Source organism: Homo sapiens, chromosome 1, assembly GCF_000001405.40.
Source record: "Homo sapiens chromosome 1, GRCh38.p14 Primary Assembly".
Classification (NCBI taxonomy): domain Eukaryota; kingdom Metazoa; phylum Chordata; class Mammalia; order Primates; family Hominidae; genus Homo; species Homo sapiens.
The window spans coordinates 235,970,146-235,994,752 of NC_000001.11; the positions used below are offsets into that span (position 1 = coordinate 235,970,146).

General features: G+C 44.2%; 1 protein-coding gene and 1 long non-coding RNA gene across 2 annotated transcripts in view, besides 7 other annotated features; both read right to left on the bottom strand.

The window, feature by feature from the left end:
- LINC02768 (long intergenic non-protein coding RNA 2768) overlaps positions 1-2,366 on the bottom strand; it is a 61,478-nt gene extending 59,112 nt beyond the window's left edge. Inside the window, exon 1 of the long non-coding RNA NR_183724.1 lies at positions 1,616-2,366. This is a non-coding gene — a long non-coding RNA (long intergenic non-protein coding RNA 2768). The remainder of the gene's footprint in view (positions 1-1,615) is intronic.
- Positions 1,347-4,346: a meiotic recombination region, noted in NCBI's record as "crossovers mapped in sperm cells of males of European ancestry". NCBI's record gives the evidence for it as "EXISTENCE:DNA detection assay evidence [ECO:0005519][PMID:16543360, PMID:15880103]".
- Positions 1,905-1,954: an enhancer, noted in NCBI's record as "active region_2809". NCBI's record gives its function as "activates an Ori minimal core promoter by ATAC-STARR-seq in GM12878 lymphoblastoid cells {active_cell/tissue: GM12878}" and the evidence as "EXISTENCE:reporter gene assay evidence [ECO:0000049][PMID:35858748]".
- Positions 2,063-3,356: a meiotic recombination region, noted in NCBI's record as "meiotic double-strand break mapped by DNA meiotic recombinase 1 chromatin immunoprecipitation followed by single-stranded DNA enrichment and sequencing in the germ cells of some male individuals with the PRDM9 A/A genotype". NCBI's record gives the evidence for it as "EXISTENCE:chromatin immunoprecipitation-seq evidence [ECO:0000229][PMID:25395542]".
- Positions 2,318-2,333: a nucleotide motif, noted in NCBI's record as "nucleotide motif; similarity to the predicted 16-mer PRDM9 C-type binding motif, CCNCNNTNNNCNTNNC".
- NID1 (nidogen 1) overlaps positions 5,685-24,607 on the bottom strand; it is an 89,261-nt gene continuing 70,338 nt past the window's right edge. Inside the window, exons 13-20 of the mRNA NM_002508.3 lie at positions 23,500-23,727; positions 20,741-20,913; positions 15,234-15,360; positions 11,466-11,637; positions 10,351-10,508; positions 9,677-9,800; positions 8,850-8,962; positions 5,685-7,843 (exon numbers count right to left, since the gene is read on the bottom strand). Of these exons, the coding sequence (NP_002499.2) occupies positions 7,722-7,843; positions 8,850-8,962; positions 9,677-9,800; positions 10,351-10,508; positions 11,466-11,637; positions 15,234-15,360; positions 20,741-20,913; positions 23,500-23,727 (1,217 nt within the window). The 3' untranslated portion in view covers positions 5,685-7,721. The remainder of the gene's footprint in view (positions 7,844-8,849; positions 8,963-9,676; positions 9,801-10,350; positions 10,509-11,465; positions 11,638-15,233; positions 15,361-20,740; positions 20,914-23,499; positions 23,728-24,607) is intronic.
- Positions 11,930-12,130: a silencer, noted in NCBI's record as "peak782 fragment used in MPRA reporter construct". NCBI's record gives its function as "represses an SCP1 promoter by STARR-seq MPRAs in K562 erythroleukemia cells {active_cell/tissue: K562}" and the evidence as "EXISTENCE:reporter gene assay evidence [ECO:0000049][PMID:32103011]".
- Positions 23,988-24,607: part of a biological region, named in NCBI's record as "meiotic recombination hotspot NID2", that runs on past the window's edge.
- Positions 23,988-24,607: part of a meiotic recombination region, noted in NCBI's record as "this region was identified as a recombination hotspot within the HapMap YRI population", that runs on past the window's edge. NCBI's record gives the evidence for it as "EXISTENCE:nucleotide sequencing assay evidence [ECO:0000219][PMID:20981099]".

Here is a 24,607-nt window from a genome sequence, read left to right on the forward strand (position 1 = left end):
TTTTAATAAACAAACACCACCTATGTAATTGGCAAAAATGAAAAAATAAACTATGCAAAGGCAAAAACATAGGTAAACGGGCCCTCTCCAACACTCCCGCTGGTGGAAGTATAAAGTGGTACAAACTTTCTGTAAGGCAGTTGGGGAGTATCTATTGAAAGTCTTAAATTTTTAAATAATCCTGAGTTGAAATTTATCCTAAAGATATTAATAAGGACACTGAGGGTCGGGCGTGGTGGCTCATGCCTGTAATCCCAGCACTTTGGGAGGCCGAGGCGGGTGAATCATGAGGTCAGGAGATTGAGACCATCCTGGATAACATGGTGAAACCACATCCCTACTACAAATATAAAAAATTAGCTGGGCATGGTGGCACATGCCTGTGGTCGCAGCTGCTCGGGAGGCTGAGGCAGGAGAATTGTTGAACCCGGGAGGCGGAGGTTGCAGTGAGCTGAGATTGCACCACTGCACTCCAGCCTGGGCAACAGAGCGTGACTCTCAAAAAAAAAAAAAAAAAAAAAAAAAGGACACTGATATTAGTATGTGGGTGTTTATTGGTTTATTGTTATTTATCACATCAAAAAACACATAGAAACACCCTAAAAGTTCATCAATAAATGAACTGGTGAGAGTTTATTGTCCATATAATAGAGTATGATACTATTATGTAGTTGATCAAAGTAATGTTCATATGCACATTTATTTAAATGGAAAACAAAAATACGGAAAAGTATCACAGGATCACATTTTTTGTTATATATATATCTTACAAAAATATATGTAAAAGTATTGTGTGTGTGTGTTTACAACATTTCTGGACAAGATTGTAGTGATGAGGCCATTATTGAGTAATGAAATTACTGTTATTTGTTTTTCTTGTGCCTTTATTTTCCAACTTTCTAAATGAAAATGTGCTGAATACAAATAAATAATAATGTAAGATAAAGTAAAAATAAATTTTCATTTAAGGTATTTCTTAAAAAGGGGGGTGAGGAAGGGTATTTAGAGTAAACCAAATCTGGAACTGGACTCTGCTCTGACGGCGTGACCTTTGCCAAGTTACTTCACCTCCTTAACCCTCAGTTTCCTGACTTACTCAATGGGCACAATAAATTCTACTACATAAGGTTATCCTGAGTTAGTTTTCCCATTTCCATCCAGCTAATAAAAGCTTCTTGCTGCACTCTCTCTCCTGAGCCTTCTCCCTTCTCTGATCCCCTTAACAAAGTGGTTCGAAGCAATCATTTAGCATCACCTGTTATTACTACCTGCTTAGTGACTAGACGCCCACTTATTTGCAAAAGCCCTGCATTTTCTGGAATTAGCCTGCTATTCCGTGTTTTCCACTTAGATTCACTCAGAACCTGGTCCATAAGGAGACGTATGCACTTTTGCATACACAGAATACACTCAGGAATACTTCTGTGTTTTCGTACCTCGGTGTAAGATGCTGAGCCCACGGCTGGGGATCTCGTGTGACGAATGTCTGCAAATGTTTGAGTAAGGAGATGACTTGGGGAGGAAAAGGGCTGGGCTATTTGGTGGAAATCTGAATTTAGATGAAGAGGCTTGACCATAATTGGGAAGTTCTTTTGCTAGCAGTTGGGCAACTCACCAATATGAAGAAAGCTCTTGAGTGGGACGATGGGAAGGCCCGAGCATAGCTTCTTTTGGGGAAGTTATCCGGGTAGCCAGGCCTGGGACGCTCCCCGCGCTCCGCCCTCACTTCTCTCTTCCCCCAAAAACAGGCATTGAGAGGCTCTTACTGCCCTCACGTGGCCCCTTCTGGAACTGTCTTTGAGGAGACCCGCCCAGATTTAAACTGAATCACGGGGGCTGGAGAGCACACACGCAGGCTTGCCAGTTAAGCTCATCTGTCCCCACTTAAGCTTCTAGCTACCAGGAAGCCGCTCTTCGAGCCTGTTTTCAAGCCTTTTTGGCCCTTCCGTCTCTTAAGTCCATGTTGTCTGAGCAAAGACCCTTTCTCCGTTGTAAGGAATTCTAAATCCTTTCGGCTGCAGCTTTCAGCAGCGCCTGGCATCCTGGCGGATGAGAAAAAGGGGAAAAACAGCAGCCCAACTTGAGAACCAGAGCTGGGCCGTGACGCTGCTGCGGGGGACTCTGGGTCCCGTCTTCCCCGCTTTCGAGACCTGTGGTCTTCAAATGTGCTCGATAGTACACTCCCTAAAAGAATTTTTGCAAAGTCCTGTTTTTCCCTGTTAAATCAAGTTTAGCTTAAAGCTACTCACATATTTTAAGTTCAGCCTAAAGGTTTCTCTGTGCCTGTAACCTAAAGGGAAGTGTAAATAGTCCCTCTCCCCCTTCACCCTCTCCTCTCCCGCTTTCTGTTTCTGCCTTATCTCTCTGACTCTTCTGCCTCCCTCCTCTGTTTTTAAGGGCCTGCCTGGATAACCCAGGATAATTTGCCTGTTTTAACGTCAGCTACTTAGTCATCTAAATTCCATCTGCAAAGTCCCTTCAGAGCAGTACAAAATTAGAATCTTGAAATCTTTAGAATTCGGCCAGCCACAACAACGATCAGCATTTTGCCAACCTTAGGTATCCAGGAGTTTTTGTTTTTAATTACAGTGATTTTTAAAAAACAGCTTATTTATTTATTTGACAGGGTCTTGCTCTGTGGCCCAGGCTGGAGTGCAGCGGCATGATCATAGCTCACTGTAACCTCAAACTCCCGGGCTCAAGCAATCCTCCTGCCTCAGCCTCCTGAGTAGCTAGGACTACAGGCACTTGCCACTACACCCGGCTAATTTTTAAAAGATTTTGTAGAGATGGGGGTCTCACTATATTGCCCAGGCTGGTCTCAAATTACTGGCCTCAAGTTGTCCTCCTGCCTCAGCCTCCTAAAGTGCTGAGATTACAGATGTGAGCCACTGTGCCCACCCAAAACAGCTTTATTGAGATATAATTCACATGCTATGTAATTCACCCAAAGTGTACCTGCAATGGTTTTGGGTATATTACATTATTAATTTTAAAAATTGTAAAATATGTATATATCATGAAATTTGCCATGTTAATAATTTTTTTTTTTGAGACAGAATCTTGCTCTGTTGCCAGGCTGGAGTGCAATGGCACGATCTCAGCTCACTGCAACCTCCGCCTCCCGGGTTCAAGCGATTCCTCTACCTCAGCCTCCTGAGTAGCTGGGACTACAGGTGCGCACCACCGCACCCGGCTAATTTTTTACATTTTAGTAGAGACGGGGTTTCACCATGTTGGCGAGGATGGTCTTGATCTCCTGACCTTGTGATCCGCCCGTCTTGGCCTCCCAAAGTGCTGGGATTACAGGCGTGAGCCACCGTGCCCAGCCATTAATAATTCTTAAGTGTACAAGTCACTGACATTTATTACATTCGCAATATTGTGCAACCATCACCACTATTTCCAATACTTTTCATTTTCCCAGGTAAGAATTCTGTAGCCATCGAGCAATAACTCTCCATTCCACCTCCCCACAGCCCCCGGTAACCTTTGATCTACTTTCAGTCTCCATGAATTGGTACATTCTAGATACCTCATATAAATGGAAGCGCATATATTGCTTGATAGTTTGTGTCTGGCTTATTTCCCACAGCATAATGTCCTGACGGTTCATCTGTGTTGTAGCATGTATCAGGATTTCATTTGTTAGGCTCAGTGATATTCCATTTTATGTACATAACGTATTTTGTTTATCCATTCATCTGTTGATGGACACTTGGGTTGTTTCCATCTTTTGGCTACAGTGAATGATATTGCAATGGACAGTAACACAGAAGCATCTGTTCCAGCCCTTGTTTTCTATTATTTTGGGTATAGTCCTAGGAGTGGAACTGCTGGATCATATAGTAATTCTATATTCAACTTTTTGAGGAACCACCAAGCTGTCTGTTTTCATTCCCATCAGCAACGGACAACGTTTCCAGATGCTCTCCAGTACTTGTTTTGTTTTGTTTTGTTTTGATAAAAGCCATCTTAATACTGTAAACTGGTGTCAAATTGTGGTTTTTATTTGCATTTACCTAATGACTAATGATATTGAGCATCTTTTCATATGCTTATTGGCCATTTGTATATCTTCTTCATATAAATGTTTATTCAAATCCTTTACTCATTTTTAAATTGTTTGCTTTTGTTGTTGAAATGTAGTTATATTCTGAATATTAATTCCTTATCACATATAGAGTTTGCAAATATTTTCTCCCATTCCATGGGTTGTCTTTTTACTCTCTTGATAGTATCCTTTGATGCAAAAATGTTAATTTTGATGAAGTCCAGCTTACCTGTTTTTTTCTTTCGTTGCTGGTGCTTTTGATATGTCCAAGAAATGTTTGACAAACCCAGTATCATGAAAATTTTTCCCTATATGCTAGCCCCTCAAGGATCAAAAGCAGCAATCAGTAATCAGAACCCACAACCTTGGTTTTTGGAAAACTGGGTCTTTATTGTCCAACCTGGCTCCAGCAAGCCACACTAAGTACCTGAGCTGCTGTCCCCACAACTGACTGCCCTGGGGCTGATCAAGGTGGGTGGTAGTCACCACTAAGTAAAGAGCTGAAATTGACCAAAACTTGCCAGCCTCCTCATCAAGCTTTCTCCTGGGTGCTGCAAGTGTTCCCTAAGATCCTGAATTCCAAAATAGTTGCATCAGACAGCTCTTGCCAGTTCAATTGTTTTAATGGAGGGATAGATTCCAGGAGCTTCTTATCTCCACCATGGAGCTTGATATCGTCTTTGAGTAACCAGATTTTATGGCCAGCATAAAACACTGGAAGTTTTAGCCCTAACATATGTAAGTTGTCTCTTTCAAGAAATTCACACTGGCAGGCTGTATACTGGCTCCACTGATGGTGCCAATTCCCTTCTCTGCAACAACTGAGCTCTGGACACCTCATTCCTGCAACTTCTGAGCCCCCTTCACTCTGTTCAACTCAGAGGCCATTCTCATCCCACCCAGGGGCCAGCATGAGTGGCACTGCCTGTTGGTGGCAGCTTAGAACAGACCAGGGGTCTCACTCCATAGCCAGTGCCAGGAAAGCATCTTTCTTCCTTCTGGAGGTAAAAAGAGAATTAAAACATAGCTTATCTCCAGAGCTGAATCAGAAAACTTTTTCTATTGCCTGCTTGTAGAATATATTTTCTCAATGAAAACAATATCCAAAAGGGTGGCTTGAAATCTATAATATAATTTATTTTTTATTTTTTTTTTAAGTTTTTGAGATAGGGTCTCACTCTGTTGCCCAGGTTGGAGTGCAGTGGCACGATCATAGCTCACTGCAGCCTTGGCCTCCCGGATTCAAACAATCCTCCCACCTCAGCCTCCTGAGTAGTTGGGACTACAGGTGTGTGCCACCATGCCCAGCTAATTTTTTTTTTTGATGTTTTGCAGAGATGGAGTCTCCCTGTATTGCCCAAACTGGTCTCAAACTCCTGGCCTCAAGTGATCCACCCACCTTGGCCTCCTAAAGTGTTGGGATTACAGGTGTGAGACACTGCACTCATTTTTAGGTAAATTACAACCCCTAAGGTTTTTTGTGGTTGAGAAACATACTAGCTCTCATAATACTGGGATAAGAGTTTCTGGGCTCCACAGGTTTTGCAGATTATTAAGTGGCTGTCTGTCTGTCTATCATGAATCAGCCTCCCAACATTAAATCTCTTCATTCAGAAAAGATAGAGGAAGATTTTCTTTTTTAAAAAAAGTTTATTTTCCACACTATTTGTACAGCTGTAAACTCAAGGAATCATCCAATACTTGTACAAATCTGGGAGAACAGTTAATAAGCACCTTCAGTGGTTTCCACAGTTTAAGAATTTACCATTAAAAAATTTTAGAATAAATCTAATAAAATGAATAAAATAGTTATAAAAATCATACAAAATCATGATGAACATTTGATATAGAGGGTTTAATATGAAACGATAAATACAAAAAGTGAGACTAATTTATGGATTTGGGCTACGTAAAAGACCTACATGGTCCTCGAATCTTGTGATTCTTGGGGCTATATTTGCCTCTCAAGACAAACTCCAATTATTCAAGGAAGACTTTCTTTCAATTCAGGTTCCAATGTACTGCAGAAGCAAGTGAGGACAAAGTCAGGAGAAGGTGGGGCAGAGAGGCTGAGTGTACTGGGGTTTGAGGAAAAGAGGAGAGACTCTTTTCCCCAAAGAGAGTATCAGGCAAATTCTTCCATGTTCTCAAGTATAAGTGGTCTTTGGCAAAATGTACCATTTTCTTTTTGGAGTTACTTAAGAGTTTTACTTATTGCTGTTCTTAAATTCCTTCCCCTACCACTTCCTCTTGGGCTTTTTTATTTCTCTTGTTGATCAATCTCTTTTTTGTGATACTTTTCATTGAATCATCTCGACTCCTTTATCCCATCCTTTACTGACTCAAACTCCTTATGCTGAACTTTTCAATCCAAAATTTCTATTGTTTTAGGACTCTGGGAAGCAGTTGATAAAAAGATAACACGAGCTACTGATATGGTCAGGAGATGTTTTCTAAACAAATTGTAGAAATATAAACATGAAATGTGGCAATGATCCCTTTAATTAGATCATTGAGCAATAAAGGATATGAACCATTAGTATAAATATTCAATTCAGTCTTTCCGGATTGTGTTGTTAGATAAGAATACATCCAAAAAGGGCCACAGATCGAGGGAGAAACCAAGGAGGGGTGAGGTCATGGTTGAGTGTAAATTGGTTCTGTCATGTGGAGGCCGGAGGTGAGGGACTGTGGTGGGACATCATCTGGTGCCAGCCCCATCCTGTACCTCAGATAGGTCTCCGTGAAAAGGAGGGACATCAGTGCAAGCAGTGGGGCTAAAGACCAGCACAGCAACAGAGACTAGAACCTTGGATGCAAGTATTTTGGGCAAAGAGGAATAATTAGTAATCTTTGGTATAATTTAAGGCACATCAAAAAAATCCCCTATTCTCAAATATCTGACCTACACCTTGAAATTCCTACCATTGGACATTCTTTTGATTTAAGCCTTTAACTAACAAATGCCAATATCCTACTGCTCAAATATTGACATTCTATCTGGGAGGGGCTGCTCATTATCATCCACCAAATGCCCATAGATCTCTAGGACAGGGTAGGTTTTGATGAAAAAGCAGCGCATGAATATTATAATGGGGGTCTTAGACAAGATGATGATGGTGAGGAACTGAGGAGTAAAACTATAGGACTATAATAAAGAAGAAATTCAGAGCACCAAAACAAAACATTAAGGAATGCTAATTTCCTCCTTAACTCCCAACTTTTCCTAGTCAGGCCCCGGCTCATAGGTCAAGGAGCTGACAGGACGGTGGGTACCTCAAAGCGAGGCTGAGCTCATAAGGCCACAGGGAAGGGTGCAACTCAAATTTGGGAGGTTCTGTTCACCACTGGGGGGCTAGTATTGGGAAAAGGTCCTAGGACACTGGGATGGGCATGTAATCCTCACTCAGGGGTGTATAAGTCTGTCTGAGGGTTGGGGGTAGGGGTGGAGGGTTCTGTCCTTGTGTAGGGGTGGAGACTTTTCTATTAGAGAAGTCCAGGGTGCATGTTTTGGGGAACAGTGAGGGAAAAGTTGTTGGGGCTCAGGCTGGGCTGGGTCTGGGCCTAGTGGCCACTCAGCCAGAGGACACTTTTCAATCTGGACCAAGTTGCTTCAAGTAGAGTGTTGCTGTGAAATACTTGGAAAGGAAATAAGGCACTCTTGTCTTCATTTCTGTTCGATACAGTCAACTCCCAAGGTGTTGTCAGGGCAACGGCAGGTCCTGCTCCCTGGGGTGGCCAAGCATAGGTGGGTGCAGCCGCCATTGTTCACTGAGCAGTAGTTATGGCCTGGAAAAGGCAGAAATCAGTTCAATAGCCCTCTCTCTGATCTGACTCCATAGCCATTTAAGATAGTGGGCTCCTTCTTGTGTGTGATCCCCCTTTTAGTTTCCTTGAAGCCATGCTAGGAAGGCTTCAGGAGAATGGGGACACTGTGCTAGGCAGTCAGCTGAGCTGATCCATTGTTTGTTTTATCAGCATTAAACCAGACACAAACACTGATTCCCAACTTGGGGGTTATGCAGATTTTCTACTAAGGCTATTAAACAGATCTCAGGGGGAAGTTCTCCAGCTCTGATTATAACATAGAATTGGAATTTTAAAGTGCAAAGTTCTTTTTATGTAGCTTGCACTCCTAGCTTCACACTGACAGAAGAAGATGAGGGAAGCTGAGAAGGAAAGTGGGTGAGGGGAGAGGCCTTCAAGAGGCAGCATAGCATAGACTCCAGGGCCAGGCTGCCTGGACTTGCCCCTGTGAGCTGTGTGACTTGGAGCAAGTTGCTTCAGTTTGCTTATTTATGAAATGAACATAATAATAGTACCTACCTCACAGGGTTGCTATGAGGATTACATGAACTAACAAATACAAAGTATTTAGAACTCTAAGTGAGTTGATATATGTAAAGTTCATAGCTCACAGTAAGTGCCACACATATGTTTTCAATTCTTATTATTAATTATTGTTATTGCTGTTAGGCCAGATGGATGGACTTTTAAAGGAGCAGAGATCCTAACATTGTAATATCCTAACCTGACTATTTGGAACCTGAAGACCCTATGCTTTTATATCCAGCCCAAAACTCAATGCTTTTCCTCATCCTGACAACTTCATGACCTAATATTTTCTGTTTATTTAACTGGTTCACCTGCTAATGAAGACCCTGGATGCAAAGGACTGGATCTCTCTTACGGCATAATCAAGGCTACTAGTGGCCATACGGGTAGCAGCCAGAGTGTGGGCTCTGAGCCTCCATGTGCCCCCAGTATGCCAACAGTAACAGCACAGGAGAGTTACCTTGCGGACACTGAGACAGGGCCGTGGTGATGCCATACAGCCGGGTCTGCTTGTGGGGTTGGAAAGCATCCGTCTCCTTGGAAATTGCAAGATCGAGAGCAACCACGGAATTCCTACAAAGCACCAAAGGGCAGAAGGTGAAAACACATCTGATGGCTTGAACTTGTATCTAAACAAGGCAGCCTCTTTGTCATTTTGAGGATAAACTGGAGGCCATAAACAGACATGATGGCCTTCTTCCTAGACATCCCTTCCTTCCCCTGGGGTGGGTCAAGCCTGCATTTCTCTGGCTTTTTACAAAAGGGTAAAGACCAGTTAGCTCTCCCCTCCCACTCTAGATCCCAGGCAGGAAATGAGCTTTCTAGACAGATGCCCCTGGCCAGTTGTCTTCTCAGTTTAATCCCTCCTTTTGCAGGAAGGGGTAGTCAGGAAGAGGCCGTGGGAATATTGCAGTTTAACAACTATAATGAAGCAGGGACATGAAGTGGACATGGAGCCCACCGGCCACGTGACCCTGGGCCAACTCCTGGGGAAAGAACAGACGTGCTGAGGAAGTCCAGGTTTAAAGACTTGAAACCACACAGTCAGGAGCATCTGGATGATAAATGGCACCTCCTGTCCCCTAGGGCCTTGTCCTCCCTCCTTCTTCATGCTCCTCTCTTGGCTCCTGACAACCAGAAGGATAAGGGAGAGGGGACATCTCTAGAGGGGGCATTTCTGGAGGCTCAAAAGTCAAGCCAAGAGGCCAGATGGGAAGGGCCTGGCCTCCCAGAGACAGTGGGTGGAGGGGCAGGCCCACGCAGCCCCCATGGCTACAGCTGACGTACATCTTCCAGTCTGTGAAATACAGATTCTTCCCGTAGCTCGTCACAGCAAAAGGATACTGGAGCCCTTCGAGAGCCTTGCGTCTGCTGGGCTGACTGGGGTTCAGGCATTCCGCCCGATTGGTGCCTGTGTGGAGTGGAAACAATTCATTCATTGTTCACACAAGAAATGGCCCCTTTGTGCAAAAAAAACAAGAGTAATGAGGGCAAGAGTGGGAGAAATTAAGCATTACAATGACAAGTCCCAGAGAACACATGAGGCTTGCTCTTAAAAACTGGCAAGTTGTCTCTTCCTCCCGTGTTGCTTCTGCTGGGGAGGCACGAGCCAGGGCAGACTAATGTAAGTTGTGAATTGCTTATCGGTATCAGGGTGACTCCAGGCTCTGTGCAGTGCCACTTACAACACGAGGGTGGCCAACTTTTTCTTAAAGCACCAGATAGTAAATTATTTCAGGTTTTGCAGGCCAGGAGGCAAAACCAAGGACAGTATGCAGGTATCTATACAATTTTGTACCAGTATATATTTAATGTACCAGATAAAACCGTAAAAACCATTCATAGCTTCTGGGTTATATAAAAACAGGTGGCTGGTTAGATTTGACCCCAGGGCCCTAGTTTGCCCACCCCTGACTTAGGAGATTGAGACCCGCCCTGGACAGTGTCCAGCTTTCCATCACCTGCATCCACCCAGCAGAGCTGAGATGAGAACGCATCGAAGGTCAGTCCATTGGGCAAGCCCAGGTCATCCTGCACAAGGATCCTCCGGTTCGTGCCGTCCATGTAGGAAGTTTCAATCTTGGGGTTATCTCTGTTCCAGTCTGTCCAGTAAAGGTTCCTGGAGGAGGAAAAAGGGGGGAAAGAGGAAAAGAAATAATAAGGATGCATGAGAAAAAGTTTATGAAAAACACTTGAAAAGAATTACAATGAAGTGATTGGCAGACATGAAAACAGAATGACTGAAAGGATCGAGAGGTGATAAAACACATTTTCTTTTGCAAAGATACTTGAATTTGGTTCCTCATTTGAGTTTGGTGATTCTGTTACTAACAAATTTGGTTCCCTTTAACATAACTGACATATAATATCTCAATGAAGCTGTTAGCAAAAGAAAACAAAGTAAAGGGCTATAACTGGCATAAATATATGGAATTCCCTGCATGAGGCCCACATGGAGGAGAGCACAGCAGACCCAGGGGACCAGACTAGGACAAGAAGCAGATGTTGGCAGGGGCTGTGGTCAAAGTACCTGCCTTCAAGGAGGAGGCTGAGTGGCCACAGAATAGGAGATGTGGTCTCAAAGGGAAGGAATCAGTGTCGAGGAACTAAGAGCCTGTTGTGTAAGAGGTAGAGCTTGCAGTAAGAAGGAAGAGAAAGCATGGATGTGCCGAAGAAACACACAGGAAGGGATCTCCAGGGTGTTCAGTCTGGGTCTGCCCCTGAAAGCAGCCTCAGCAGTCCATTTATGCCGCCCTGCTACTCTTCTGGAGTTGATATAACCTGAGTGTTGATCCACATTGAAGCCATATGGAAAATATCCAATTTCTGAGCATGCCAACTTGTAAAGTCTCCTGGCAAAAGATTTGAAAGTGGGACATGGTATCAAGTCCACACTGTAATACATGTTCTGGCATTGTACCGTGGATATCTACAAGTCACCAAAACTGTAGACTCTTTCGTCCCGTACTCATTAATTTCAGGAGACCAATGCTGGAGTTAAAGCCTCACATCTGAGAATCTCTAAAAGGGCAGATGCAAATCAAAGAGATGCACACACATATTTACACAAAGATACCCTCTCACGGAATCCGTTACAATGCCTCTGGGATTCACCAAGTCAGTCTCAAAGAGCACCCGGCGCTGCGTGCCGTCCAGCTTCGCCACTTCTATTCGATCCAGGTTAGAGTCTGTCCAGAAGATGTTGCGGCCAAGGTGATCAACAGCGATACCTTCTGGACTTCCAAGATCTAGAAGTAAACACAGAGCTCCTCTAATTTTTTTTGTTTTCTAAGCAGCTGAGATGAGGTTTTTCTGAATACTCAATGTTATTTCACATGGTGTCCAATCCCTGCACTTTAAGAAACCAAATGGGAATGTGAAATGCTTGTTGTTTATAAGATAAACAACACTCAAAGTGACAAATTCAAAAATGCCATTTACTCACTCTGTGGGTATCCATCATGCTGCACGTTGGGAACCAGGACAGTAACAATGACTAAGCCGAGGCCCAGTTTTCCATGAGCCCACAGCCAACCACAGTTGAGACTGAGTTCCAGGTCCTATGGGAGCCTGGAGGAGGAACCCCAGCCTGGGGAGAACAGGGAGGGGTTCCTGGGGGAGGTGACATTGCTTGAAGCTGGCACCTGAAGGACCAATAGCAGTTTGTCAAACAAGGATCCTGGATGAGGGCTTTTTAGGTAGCGAGACTGGCACATAGGTATAAAGGAAGGCTGGATGGTGGCTTAAAGTGAACAGGATGTCATTGTATGTGGCTGGAGACTATGAGGGTGGGGGAGTGGTCAGAGATGAAGGTAGGAGGCCATGTTAATGAACTTAGAACTTAGGCAGAGGGGAGGCAGTGGAAGATCTTAAGATAGGGAATGGAAAAATAGTTCTATCTTGTTCATTAGCTATCGGGGATAAAGGTCATTGAAATAATACTTTCAAGAAACCATAGCTGCTATTACTTTCATACAAGTATAAGGGGTACAAAGAAGGGGTGTCAGTGATTACAAATAACACCCCAGTCTTTACTGGGTTATAGCAACTGATTTTCAAGCCAGGAGTTGCCACTGGGTAACATGAACCTTCACTGCAAACCCTCAGCACCCATCTAACTTTACTGGAAGCTGAAGATTACATTGGTGTTTTATTATATAGTTTTTTTAAATTAATAATAACGATTGTGTTTTATTGATATCACTTAGGACTCTTTCCCTTCTACTGATTAAAGGAATGAAGGTCATTTAGTATGACTGGAGTATAAGCAGGAAGGAGAAGGGGCTACCCTACCTGAGGGATCTGGGGTATGAGGCAACCATTCCAATACTGTGGGTTTTTTTGTTTTGTTTTGTTTTTGACAGAGTCTCATTCTGTTGCTCAGGCTGGAGTGCAGTGGTGCCATCTCAGCTCACTGCAAACCTCCACCTCCTGAGTTCAAATGATTCTTTTGCCTCAGCCTCCCGAGTAGCTGGGATTACAGGTGCGTGCCACCATGCCCGGCTAATTTTTGTATTTTTAGTAGAGACAGGGTTTCACCATGTTGGCCAGGCTGGTCTCAAACTCCTGACCTCAAGTGATCCCCCGCCTTGGCCTCCCAAAGTGTTGGGATTACAGGCATGAGCCACCACACCTGGCTCCAATACTGTGTTCTTCTGTGGACATACAAGCAGTGCAGACCCTCAGCCCCCTTTGCATTAGCCTTCGCCAGAGCCCTAATATGATGGTGACCTTGGATGCTGGACACATCAGAGCCCCCAGAAAGAAAGCCCGCCAGAGGAAGTTTATTGAGAATTAGAAACCCCACTTGAACAAGATCTTTATTATCTAAACACAAAGTAGAGATTTTTAAAATATTAAAATATTTCCCATGTCCCTAGATGAACAGGGACAGTGAGACTGACCTCCAAAGGTCCCTTCTGGCTTTCAGATAGAAACAGAATAAGTCATTCTGGAGTATATTTGGAATGAGCACATCCTGTGTGAGAGACAAGAGCCACTCAGATATACGCAAATAAAACAGAGAATATAGGCTGCTCTGTGAGAGCATCTTTGCGAGGCACCTGGAGGAAGCTCCATGAGCTCCGTGCATATTGTCTCCTTAGAACCAGCCTTGGTCCCGATCTCAAACCCAAGAGCAACCAACCCCCTCTCCCTCAACTCAAAATACTTCTTTATGAGCTACTCTTCCAAGGGAAAGGTCTGGATAATCTTATCCTTCAATGTGCAGTCCGAGGAAGAAGTATTCCTTACTGCTTACCTCAAAGATATGATACTTTTTAGAGATACTTGGTTGGGTCTGTAACTCAAGGAAAGAAAGAAAGCCTGGGATCCGGGCTGTTATGAAATAAGGAAGAAATGAAAATGATACCTAACTGTCACTCTCACTCACTAGGGAAGCACCAACCTGTACCATGCTAAGGAGATAACTGGAAGCTTCTTTCTCTCTTAAAAAAAAAAAAAAGAAAATTATTCCCAGTGATCTTTCTTCTACAAAGATCACATTTTGGTTTAATTCTGTGTTTTCACAGTAACTAGGCTTTTGCTTGGAATGCTTCTTACTGTGCTTACAGCGTTCTTGGATGGTTATGAGCTCCAAAAGCAACAGGAAATAGCAAACAATGACCTATTCCCCTCTTCCACTGGGTTTTAAAATGAAATCATAGATAATAACAATAACATTTTTAACACACGGAGATAGGCATTTTCAAACTGTTTTTCACTAAACCAAAGCATGAAAACTGGAAGACATGATTTAAATAGCCTGTTGGCTTCCAGAAAAGGGTTCAGGGTCTATGTCCAAAGCCAGACATAGTTAATTCAACCTCAGCTTCATTCCTGCCGCATCATCTTTACTGAAGGCAACAAAGAAGGGAAAAAATGCTTCGGGAGTTGTTCCACAGGCACAGGAAATCTTCTAGAATATCAATTGTGAGGGAAACATTCCATTGAAAATAGAAAAAACTACATTCAGTGCCAAGTAAAAAGAAATACAAAATGAGGCTGCTCTATTTTAAAGATGTATCTTTGATGTGAATATTTTGCAGAGAACGCAAGGTGACTCCACAGAACAAATATCATCAGCATGACAATGCCATAGGAGCAAAAATATTCCCAAGTCAGTTGATGAGTCGCTGAATTAAGCAACATGTAATACTTGACCATTTCAGCACAGTGGAATTTTTAGAGGCCTTTGGATTTTTGTTGTAATGGTCTTTCAACTAGATAAATCATACCCATGTAAAACAGTCTTGATTTGTTGAAGGTAGGCATGAAAAACAAAGCACAGAGTCATTGGTTGAAATTGGCATCCTTAATGAGGAATTTCCTCAATTGAGGAATTGAGGTTGAACACTGAAAAGTAGATTGTGCCTGCCGGGCGCCGTGGCTCACACCTGTAATCCCAGCACTTTGGGAGGCCGAGGTGGGCGGATCACGAGGTCAGGAGATAGAGACCATTCTGGCTAACACGGTGAAACCCTGTCTCTACTAAAAAAAAATACAAAAAATTAGCCAGGCATGGTGGCGGGCGACTTTAGTCCCAGCTACTCGAGAGGCTGAGGCAGGAGAATGGCGTGAACCCAGGAGGCAGAGCTTGCAGTGAGCCAAGATCACGCCACTGCACTCCAGCCTGGGTGACAGAGTGAGACTCTGTCTCAAAAAAAAAAAGAAAAAAAAAAGTAGAACGTGCCTAAACTTTACACACTTTATCGTAGTAATGCAACAAAAGACTGAGAAATGTTTGTGAAAGTTTGGCTTCATTTGCTGTTCTTCTCTGGCATACATGGCCACTTTGGCTGCTAGAAGCAAAACCAAAAAGGAAAAATGATATTTGCTTACTTACCTTGTCTAATGATGGTGGTTGGCTCTCCACCATGTAGACTAGCTCTCCCAATGGAAGGCTCAGTGATGTCCGTCCAGTAAACCATCTTGTCCACGCAGTCAAAGGCCAGTCCAATGATGACTTTAGCCTGGATGTGAAGACCAGTGGTTAGAATGGTCCATCTACAAGCATCTGATAGTGAGAATCTTTTTGCGTGCCTACAGGCATTTGGATATCTTTTGTAATGAAGTGTCAAGTGTTTTGTTCATTTAAAAATTTTTATTATTGAGTTGTAGGAGTTGTTCGTATATTTCAGAAAAAACTCCTGTCATATACACATATATGCACATCTATATGTATAGGAATTTGTGTGTGTGTGTGTGTGTGTGTGTGTGTGTATATATATGCATAAATATGTATTTTTTGAGACAGGGTCTCTGTTGCCCAGGCTGGAGTGTAGTGGCGTGATTACTGCTCACTGCAGCCTCAACCTCCTGAACTCGAGTGATCCTCGCCCTCAGACTCTCAAGTAGCTGGGACTACAGGCATGTGCCACCATGCCTAGCTCATTTCTTAAAATTTTTTGTGGCAACAGAGTCTCACTGTCTTGCCCACTCTGGTCTTAAACTCCTGGCTCAAGCAAGCCATCTGACTCAGCCTCCCAAAGTGCTGGGATTACCAGCACCAGCCACTGCACCCACCCATTATTTCTTCTCAGTATGTAGTTTGCTCTTTCATTTTCTTAATAGTGTTTGGAAGAGCAAAAGTTTTTGATGTTTAGTAAGTCTAATTTATTATTTTTTCCCTTTATGGCTAATGCTTTTTGAATACTAAGAAATCTTTGCCTACTTGAAGGTGATAAAGAAAAAGAAATAAAAGGCATACATATTGAAGAAGTAAAATTACTCTATTCTAAGATAATATGGTTATTTATGTAGAAAGTCATGGGGAATCTATAAAACTGCTATAATCAAAAGTGAATCTAGCAAGGATGCAAGATACAAAGTCAATATAAAATTATTTTTCTATATACTAGCAAAATATAGAAAATAAACCTTAATAATTGTGACAGCATCAAAAAAAAAAACCAGAAAATATATAAGGATAAACATTTTTAAATATGCAGGATTCCACAATGAATACTATAAAACATTGCAGCATGAAACTATAAAAGACCCAAATAAATGAAGGGATAAATAAGGTTAAATGTAAACAATTTACATTTAAATTGTAGCTGGGACTACAGACATGTGCCAGCACACCTAGTTAATTTTTCTATTTTTTTGTAGAGACAGCGTCTCACTATGTTGCCCAGGCTGGTCTCGAACTCCTGAGCTCAACTGATCCAGCCGCCTGGGCCTCCCAAAGTCCTGAGATTACAGACGTAAGCCAGTGCGCCCAGACAAGGCTGTGCACTTTTAAGATATTCACTCTCTTAAACCATCACAACCAAATGCTCAGGCCTCAACTGTGGGTACCTCCTTCACGGCATCCCATGCCTATCAACTTCTCTGGCCTTCCGTGGTATTAAGGAAAGAGAACATTTCCTTCAGCAAACATGCTCATCAACTTCTCTGGCCCTCCATGGCTTTAAGGAAAGAAAACATTTCCTTCAGCAAACACGCCCAGAGTCCTTTTCCACACATTAGTTCTTACAAAAGTGAGACAGAAAAGGACCAGAGGAAGCAAAGTTGAGTAACATTTTACATGTGATTTGAGTTTCATGAAAATCTACTGGGCTATTGTTTGGTTTGAAAAGCCACTGAGAGTTAGCTCTGAGTAAGCCAGCCTCTCCTCAGACAAGGCAAATCAATTACCTGCCAGTAACTCATTAATGAGTATTTATTAGGTGCTCATTATGTATGACGAACTATGGTGATACATAGACAAAACTCCAACCTAGAAAGAACACTGAGTTGCTTAACTTCTCTAAAGCAACCACCTCAAAACAAGCCATCTGCCCATAGGTTGATTTGGCAAAGCCTTGTCGAGATCTTTTGCAAATTAAAATATTTTAAAACTATAGGAATTCATACTTATGTAAAATTTAGCCATTGGGAGAAACCAGGTGAAAGGTACACAGGACCTCTCTGTATACCTTTCCAACTTCCTGTGGCTCTGATTACTTCAAAATAAAAACTTAAAAACAAAACAGAAGCACAAACTTTTCCCTTGATCAGACAGTGAGGAGTTCCTTTCTTTAGATGCTGCCCATGAGAGGCTCAGGAAGAAGCTGCCGGGCTGTATGATCTCAGCATGTGGTGAGGTTAGATTCTGTCAATAGCCTGGAAACTATTGAAACACTGAATTGTTCAGGTACAAGAAACCCTGGGAGTGGGTTCTTGGTCGTGGACACAGTACTAGGCATTACGAAGCCAGGGAAGGTCTCAGGAGGGAGGGTCTCAGGACCAAGGAAGTGGTGGACCAGGATGATCTTTTACTGGGAAAATCAGGAGGATGAGCACATACTTCCTCCTCAAGGGGTCAAGTCAAAAAGGACAGTGACCCTTACCTCACACCACATACAAAAATTAACTCAAATGAATCAAAGACCTAAATGTAAGAGCAAACTTATCAAACTCTTAGAAGAAAACCAGGGAGAAAGCCTCATGACATTGGATTTGGCGACAATTTCTTGGATATGATACCAAAAGCACAGGCAACAAAAGAAAAAAAAAGGTAAATTGGACTACATCAAAATTAAAAATGTCTGTGCATCATAGGACACAATCAAGAGAGTGAAAAGACAACCCATGGAATGGGAGAAAATATTGCGAATCATGTATCTTTTAAAGAGTTAATATCCAGAATATATAAAGAATTCCCACAACTCAACAACAACAAAAGAACTGATCAAAAAATAGGCAAAAGGATTTAAGTAGACATTTCTCCAAAGAAGATATACAAGCGGCCAATAAGTACGTGAAAAGATGTTCAGTGTCATAAATTATTAGGAAAATGCAAATCAAAACCACTTCACACCCGTTACAATGGCTATCATTAAAAAACAAAAACAGCCAACAAGTTTTGGTAAGGATATGGAGGAGTTTAAACCCCTGTGCTCTGCTGGTGAGTAGGTAAAATGGTACAACCACTGTGGAAAACAGTATGGTTGTTCCTCAAAAAATTAAATATAGAATTACTGTATGATCCAGCAATTCCACTTTGGTATATGTATCGAAAAGAAGTTAAAGCAGGGACTCGAACAGATATTTGTATACCCATGTTCATAGCAGCATTATTTGCAAAAGCCAGAAGGTGGAAGCAACTGCTGATAGATGAATAAATACACAAAATACGGCAGATCCGTACAATGGGATTTCAGCCTTAAGAAAGAAGGAAATTATGACACATGCTACAATGTGGATGAACCTGAGGACATTATGCTAAGTGAAATATGCCAGACACGAATGACAAATACTGTATGATTCTGCTTCTAGGAGGTACCTAGAAAAGTCAAAAGTATAAGGGCAGTAAGTAGAATCGTGGCTGCCAGGGGCTAGGACATGGGTGGAGGGAGAATGGGGAGGTATTGTTTAATAGCTTCAGTTTGGGATGATGAAAAAGTTCTGGAGATGAATGGAGGTGATAGTTGCATAACATTGTTTATATTCTTAATACCACTTTCAACAGGTTTTTAAAAGATGGTGAATGTTTATCCCGTTGTTTCAGCATTCCCCCTTCCACCACCTAGCCCACTTAAATTATCTGCTTTTTTTTTTTTTTTTTTTTTTGAGACAAGAGTCTCATTCTGTTGCCCAGGATCTCAGCTCACTGCAACCTCTGCCTCCCAGGTTCAAGCAATTCTTGTGCCTCAGGCTCCCAAGTAGCTGGGATTACAGGAACGCACCACCATGTGCAGATAATTTTTGTATTTTTAGTAGAGATGGGGTTTCTCCATGTTGCCCAGGCTGTAAATTATCTGCTTTTTATTGCCTCACATGACATTTAGCCTCTCCCCTTGGTCTTGGGAAAGAATGTCTTTCACAGGGAATTTAACCCATTCCTATTACCTGAGAGCATGTGCTGGAGATGGAAATGACACAGATGATCTTCAAGGTTTACATTTTCAGCAAGGCAATAGATGAATACAATGATCATGCATGCATTTGTTCAGCAAATATTTTTTTGAGTGCTTCCTATATGCCAAGCAGTTTTGGGTCTAGAAATACCACATGAAACCAATACCTCCATGAAACAAATGAACAGTTCCTGTCTTGTGGTGCTGATATTTTAATAGGAAGATACATGTCAGATACACAACACAAATATGGGTATTTAATGCATCACATAGTGCCAAGAGCGCTGATGAAATACAAAGCAGCATAAAGAGCTAGAGAGCAGTGGTGGCTGCTGTCTGGACAGGGGGATCAGGACAGGCCTCTCTGAGAGATGATGTTTTGGCAGAAATTTGCATGAAGTGAGGCAGTGAACTGTGCAATTGTCAGGCAGGGGGAACTGCAAGTGCAAAGGCCCTGAGACAGAAATGTGCCTGGTGTGTTCCAGGACCAGCCAGAGGGCCAGAGGGTTGAAGTTGGTAAGTGAGGTGAGAGTGGTAGGGAACAGGGTGGGAGAGGGAGCCAGAGGCCAGATCCTATAGGGCTTTGAGGGCCATAAAAAGGACTGGATTTTATTCTGAGTGAAGAGGCAACCCATTTGAGAGCTTTGTGCAGGAAAAGGACATGAATCTCATAAAGACTTCTTTGCAAGAGGCTTTTGAAAAGTATTTTTATTTTGGATACTTTTTTGCTGATGTTTCCTCCCTGGTCCCAAAGAAGGGATGTGGCTGTGTGTGGCATCTATGAAGTGGAGATCAATTCAGGAAGAGTAAATAGAAAAAGAAGAAAACACAATGGGTAGAGAAAGGAGGAAGAGAAGAAAAGCTGGAGGTTGGTCCTGTGGCAGGCAAGATGGCCCAAGTAGCATCTTTACCAAGAATCTTCAAGTAGACTTTGTGCCTCCAGTGAGGAATGATAGGGCTTTCTGCCAGACTTTCTTTTACAAGAGCCAATGATCTCAGACCCTCCCCTCTCCTTCACTCCTCATAGGACCCTCACAGCCCCTCCCACTGCTCCAGCAATTCTGACTCAGCCTTGTAGTGGAAGCCTGCAGGTCTCAGGTTTGGTTTCTTGGCAGGGGTCAGGATCAGATAAAACCGAATGGCTTTTCTGAATTGCCCAACCTCTATCTAATGGGAAAAGAAGTCCCTAAATCACAAAATGCATCTCTGAAGCTTTGAAAGCCTCTAAAAACTCCAATGCTTGTTGCTACGTCAGAGCAGATATGAGGCTCTTAAATTGAGCAGCTGCTGAAAGATGAATCACTATGAATTTGGCAGGGGAATGGAAAGATCACGAGCAGCTCAGCAATACAGTGGCCCCATCTAGAGATGGTCACCCAGGACTACATGGAATGAGCACCCATGGTTCCAGGGGTTGAGCCTGGGGTTCTGGTCTGATATCGTCCTGCTTGTTTTTCCAGGTCACTGAAGCAGGAGCTGTCACCAGGTATAATCAGCCAGCACTCACCGGGACATGAAGGAACGCCTTTGCTTCTGTCTTCCTCATGGTATTTCCCTCCAGGGGCAGGCGCTCAATCTTCCCAGTCTGGGCAAAGAGTAAATGGGTCCCAGGAGGCAAGGGGATCACGGCGGTAGGCACCGCAGGTCCTTGGTGAATCGGGGGAGCCACTGTACTCAGACCTGCATGGCAGAGGGGGTCAGTGAGGGAGGCCCGTGTGCACCAGGAACACACAGATGCACACACACACACCCCCACACACATGCACGCATGCACACACATACACACACCCACACATCAGGTCACATCACCTTCATGGCACCACAAACTGCCACAGCCACACAATGCCCATTTTATAGCTGAAAGCACCAGAATTAGAAAGCCCTCAGTCAATCAAAGAGCACTGATGAAGAAGGTAATACACAGCATTAAAAGTCACGTGAAAAAAAATGGCTTGGCCTCCCTCTTTTTTTTGAGACGGAGTCTTGCTCTGTCACCCAGGCCAGAGTGCAATGGTGCGATCTTGGCTCACTGCAACCTCTGCCTGCCTGGTTCAAGAGATTCTTGTGCCTCAGCCTCCTGAGTAACTGGGATTACAGGCATGCACCACCATACCCAGTTAATTTTTGTATTTTTAGCAGAGATGGGGTTTCACCATGTTGGCCAGGCTGGTCTCGAACTCCTGACCTCAAGTGGTCTGCCCACCTAGGTCTCCCAAAGTGCTGGGATTACAGGTGTGAGCCACTGTGCCCGGCCGGCCTCCCTCTTAATAGAAAAGCTTTGGCTACCCATGCTCTGCTTTAGGCACTGGTGCTAGAGGAAGGAACCAAATAAGAGCAGCACCAGCAGCACCAGCGGTAGCACAACAGCGAAAACAGCATCCCTGAACTCCCTGCCCACAGGGAGCCAGGTTCTAGTGCAAACTATTGAGCTTTTCCATGCTGGAGGAGCCTGTCAGAATGAGTTGCCCCATACAGTGCACTCTGTCCCAGTGCCACAGGGATGGGAGAGCCTGGGGCCTGACAAGCAAGAACATGACGTTTATGGGCTTCCAAGAACAAAATCATGGCCAGGGGCTCCTTTTCCCTCAGAATCAGGCTTGCCTTCCTATCTCCTGACCTCAACCCCTCGCCGGGCTCCTTGATTCACTTGATGAGACAATGTCCCAGGAGGGACACACAACTGTGCTGCAAAGCAAGGAGGGCTAAGAGGGCTGATTGGGTGTCTGGAGACCTGAGCCCTGTCCTGGCCCCTCTACTCACTCGCTGTGTGCACAGGGCATGCATCTTCCAGAGCCTGGTCTCCTGCTCTCTACAGTGAGAGCTGGACAAGGTTGTCCCCAAGGTCACTTTCTCTTGTCTATCTTGCCTATTACACCCAATCGGTGACACAAACCAATCTGGTCAACCTCTTTCATATCTCTGAAATCCATCCGTTTCTCACCTGGATTCATCGTAAGTAGTGCAACAGCCTTCACCTCCCCCCGCCAGGGACTGTCAAGCCTGCCTCTCAGCTTCTACCCCCACAGCCAGTGATATTCTAAAACTAAACCCTGCTTCACATGGGCGCCTGCTCCAAACCCATCCCAGGCTCCTCGTTGCCCTCATGACCAATACTCAGGCTTAGAAACGTGGCTCACACGGTGCTGCTTCTGGAAAGCCTCACCCATGAGCCCACCGCCCCACGCAAGCCAGGATTCCGCCTCGGCTCCCTGGTCGCTGTCTGCTTCTCCTAAAGCTCATCTCCCTACACTGTTCCTGTCTATTCACCGTCCTTTCCGCTTCTTGGGGGCCCAGCACCGTGACTTTCCTCTGGGCATCCTAGCACCCACCACAGCACTGGCCCCTCAGTGAATGTTGGCTGTGTGAACGAGTGAAGTTTCTGAGTAATTGTTTTACTGTTTCTTAGCAGCTTCGGGGAAATATTTGATAGGATATCAATCAATGATTATTAGCTAAATTGTGAGTGGAGATTCAAAGATTCATTATATTCGCTTTTGGTAGTTTGTGACAATAACCAATTTCTACATTTGCAACGGAAGGAGAATTTTAGAGCTGGGAATCACTCTCGGGGTTATTTTGCCTCATGTTTAGGTTGAGACTGGGGACGCTGAGGCTGGGGAAAGTGTCTGTCCAGAGTCACACAGGGCCCCTGGCCCCCAGGACAGCAGCTTCCCACTGCCTCCGGTGATGGTCTTAGAGCCAGCTCATGCAGAAAGCTTTGTGGCTGTTTGCTCCTTGGATTGGAAAATCAACCCAAGTAACTAAAGGCCCTAGGGCACGACTGAAGGAGGCAAGGGGTGCAACGGTCTGAACAGGCCCTACTGCCTAGGGCACAGAGCCCTGGGGAAGGGTTCAGGTTGGTCCCCACCATCCCTGCCATGTCCCAGTGCAGGAACATTCCACCTCCACGCCTCCCTTGGCAGAGAGTTCTTCTGGGAGGCCTGGAGCACACACAGCCGCTCTGCTACCATTACAGGTACCGCTGTGGCAGGCCCCACTGGGTATTTACACCCTACACGTGTGTGTGTTGGGTGGGGAAGGAGAAAGAAGAGGGTAAGAGAACAGAGAGGGTGAGGAGGAGAGGAAGCACGGGGAGGAGCGGGGTAAGTGAGAGGGAAGAAGGGTGCAGCAGGAGCGGGTGGGGCTGGAGCCAGTGGAACAGTTCAAGCTTTAGGTCCAGCAGAAGAGCAAAGAGCGTGTTCAGCAATTCCGGTCCCCCGAGGTCCTTCTCAGGCACACGCCCAAGCACGGCCTGCACCCACTTACACGGGGGCGTCATCCCGGGCCTGGTCCTGGTGCCCTCCACCTCGCGGCCGTCGCGATCCACGCACCAGCAGTAGCCGGTGCTGCCGTGGCACTGGGTGGGCGCGTAGTGCCCGTGCGCATCGCACTCAGGAACGAACAGCCCCGGAGGAATGGGTCGCTGTGGGTCTGTCGCCCCCGCTGCCCCGAGAATGTGTTCTCGCTCGTGCTGGCACCGGGTTTTCTCCACCTCTATCAGAGAAACAGGCAACAAGAAAGCTGTCAGGTGCGTCATCCGTCAGCGCTCCCTGGCGGGGCTGCAGGAGTCCCCGCAGCTCGCTCAGAACCACGAGGGCTGCCTGTGTGTCACTGGGTTTTGTTTCATCAGTTATTCAAAATGCAGAAACATCATTATTATTGAATAGGTTTGTCAAGAAAATGATATTTACATCTCCTTTATACTCCTAGGTAGTTCCTTTTAAAACACTTTTAAAAAATTGAGGCAAAAAGAAATGAAGCAAATTGATAGAACATACAGTGAACCTTTTTTTACTTTTTTGCGATGGCGTTTCGCTCCTGTTGCCCAGGCTGGAGTGCAGTGGCACGATCTCGGCTCACTGCAACCTCTGCCTCTCGGGTTCAAGTGATTCTCCTGCCTCAGCCTCCTGAGTAGCTGGGATTACAGGCACCCGCCACCAAGCCCAGGTAATTTTGTATTTTTAGTAGAGACAGGGTTTCACCATGTCAGCCAGGCTGGTCTCGAATACCTGGCCTTAGGTGATCCGCCTGCCTCAGCCTCCCAAAGTGCTGGGATTACAGGCATGAGCCACTGCGCCCTGCCAAGTGAACCATTTTTAAGTAAACAATTCTTTCACTTAGCAGAATGTTGTCAAGCTTTATCCAGGTGGTAGCATGTATTAGAACCTGCTTCATATTCATGGCTGAATAATATTGCATTGTAGGGACAGATCATATTTTGCTTATCCATTGATGAACATCACTGGGTTTTATTTTAAGAAAATTTTTTTGTTTGTTTTTTCTAAATGTGTCATTTTTATCATCTCAAACTTCTTCTTCTTCTTTTTTTTTTTTTTGAGACGGAGTCTCGCTCTGTTGCCCAGGCTGGAGTGCA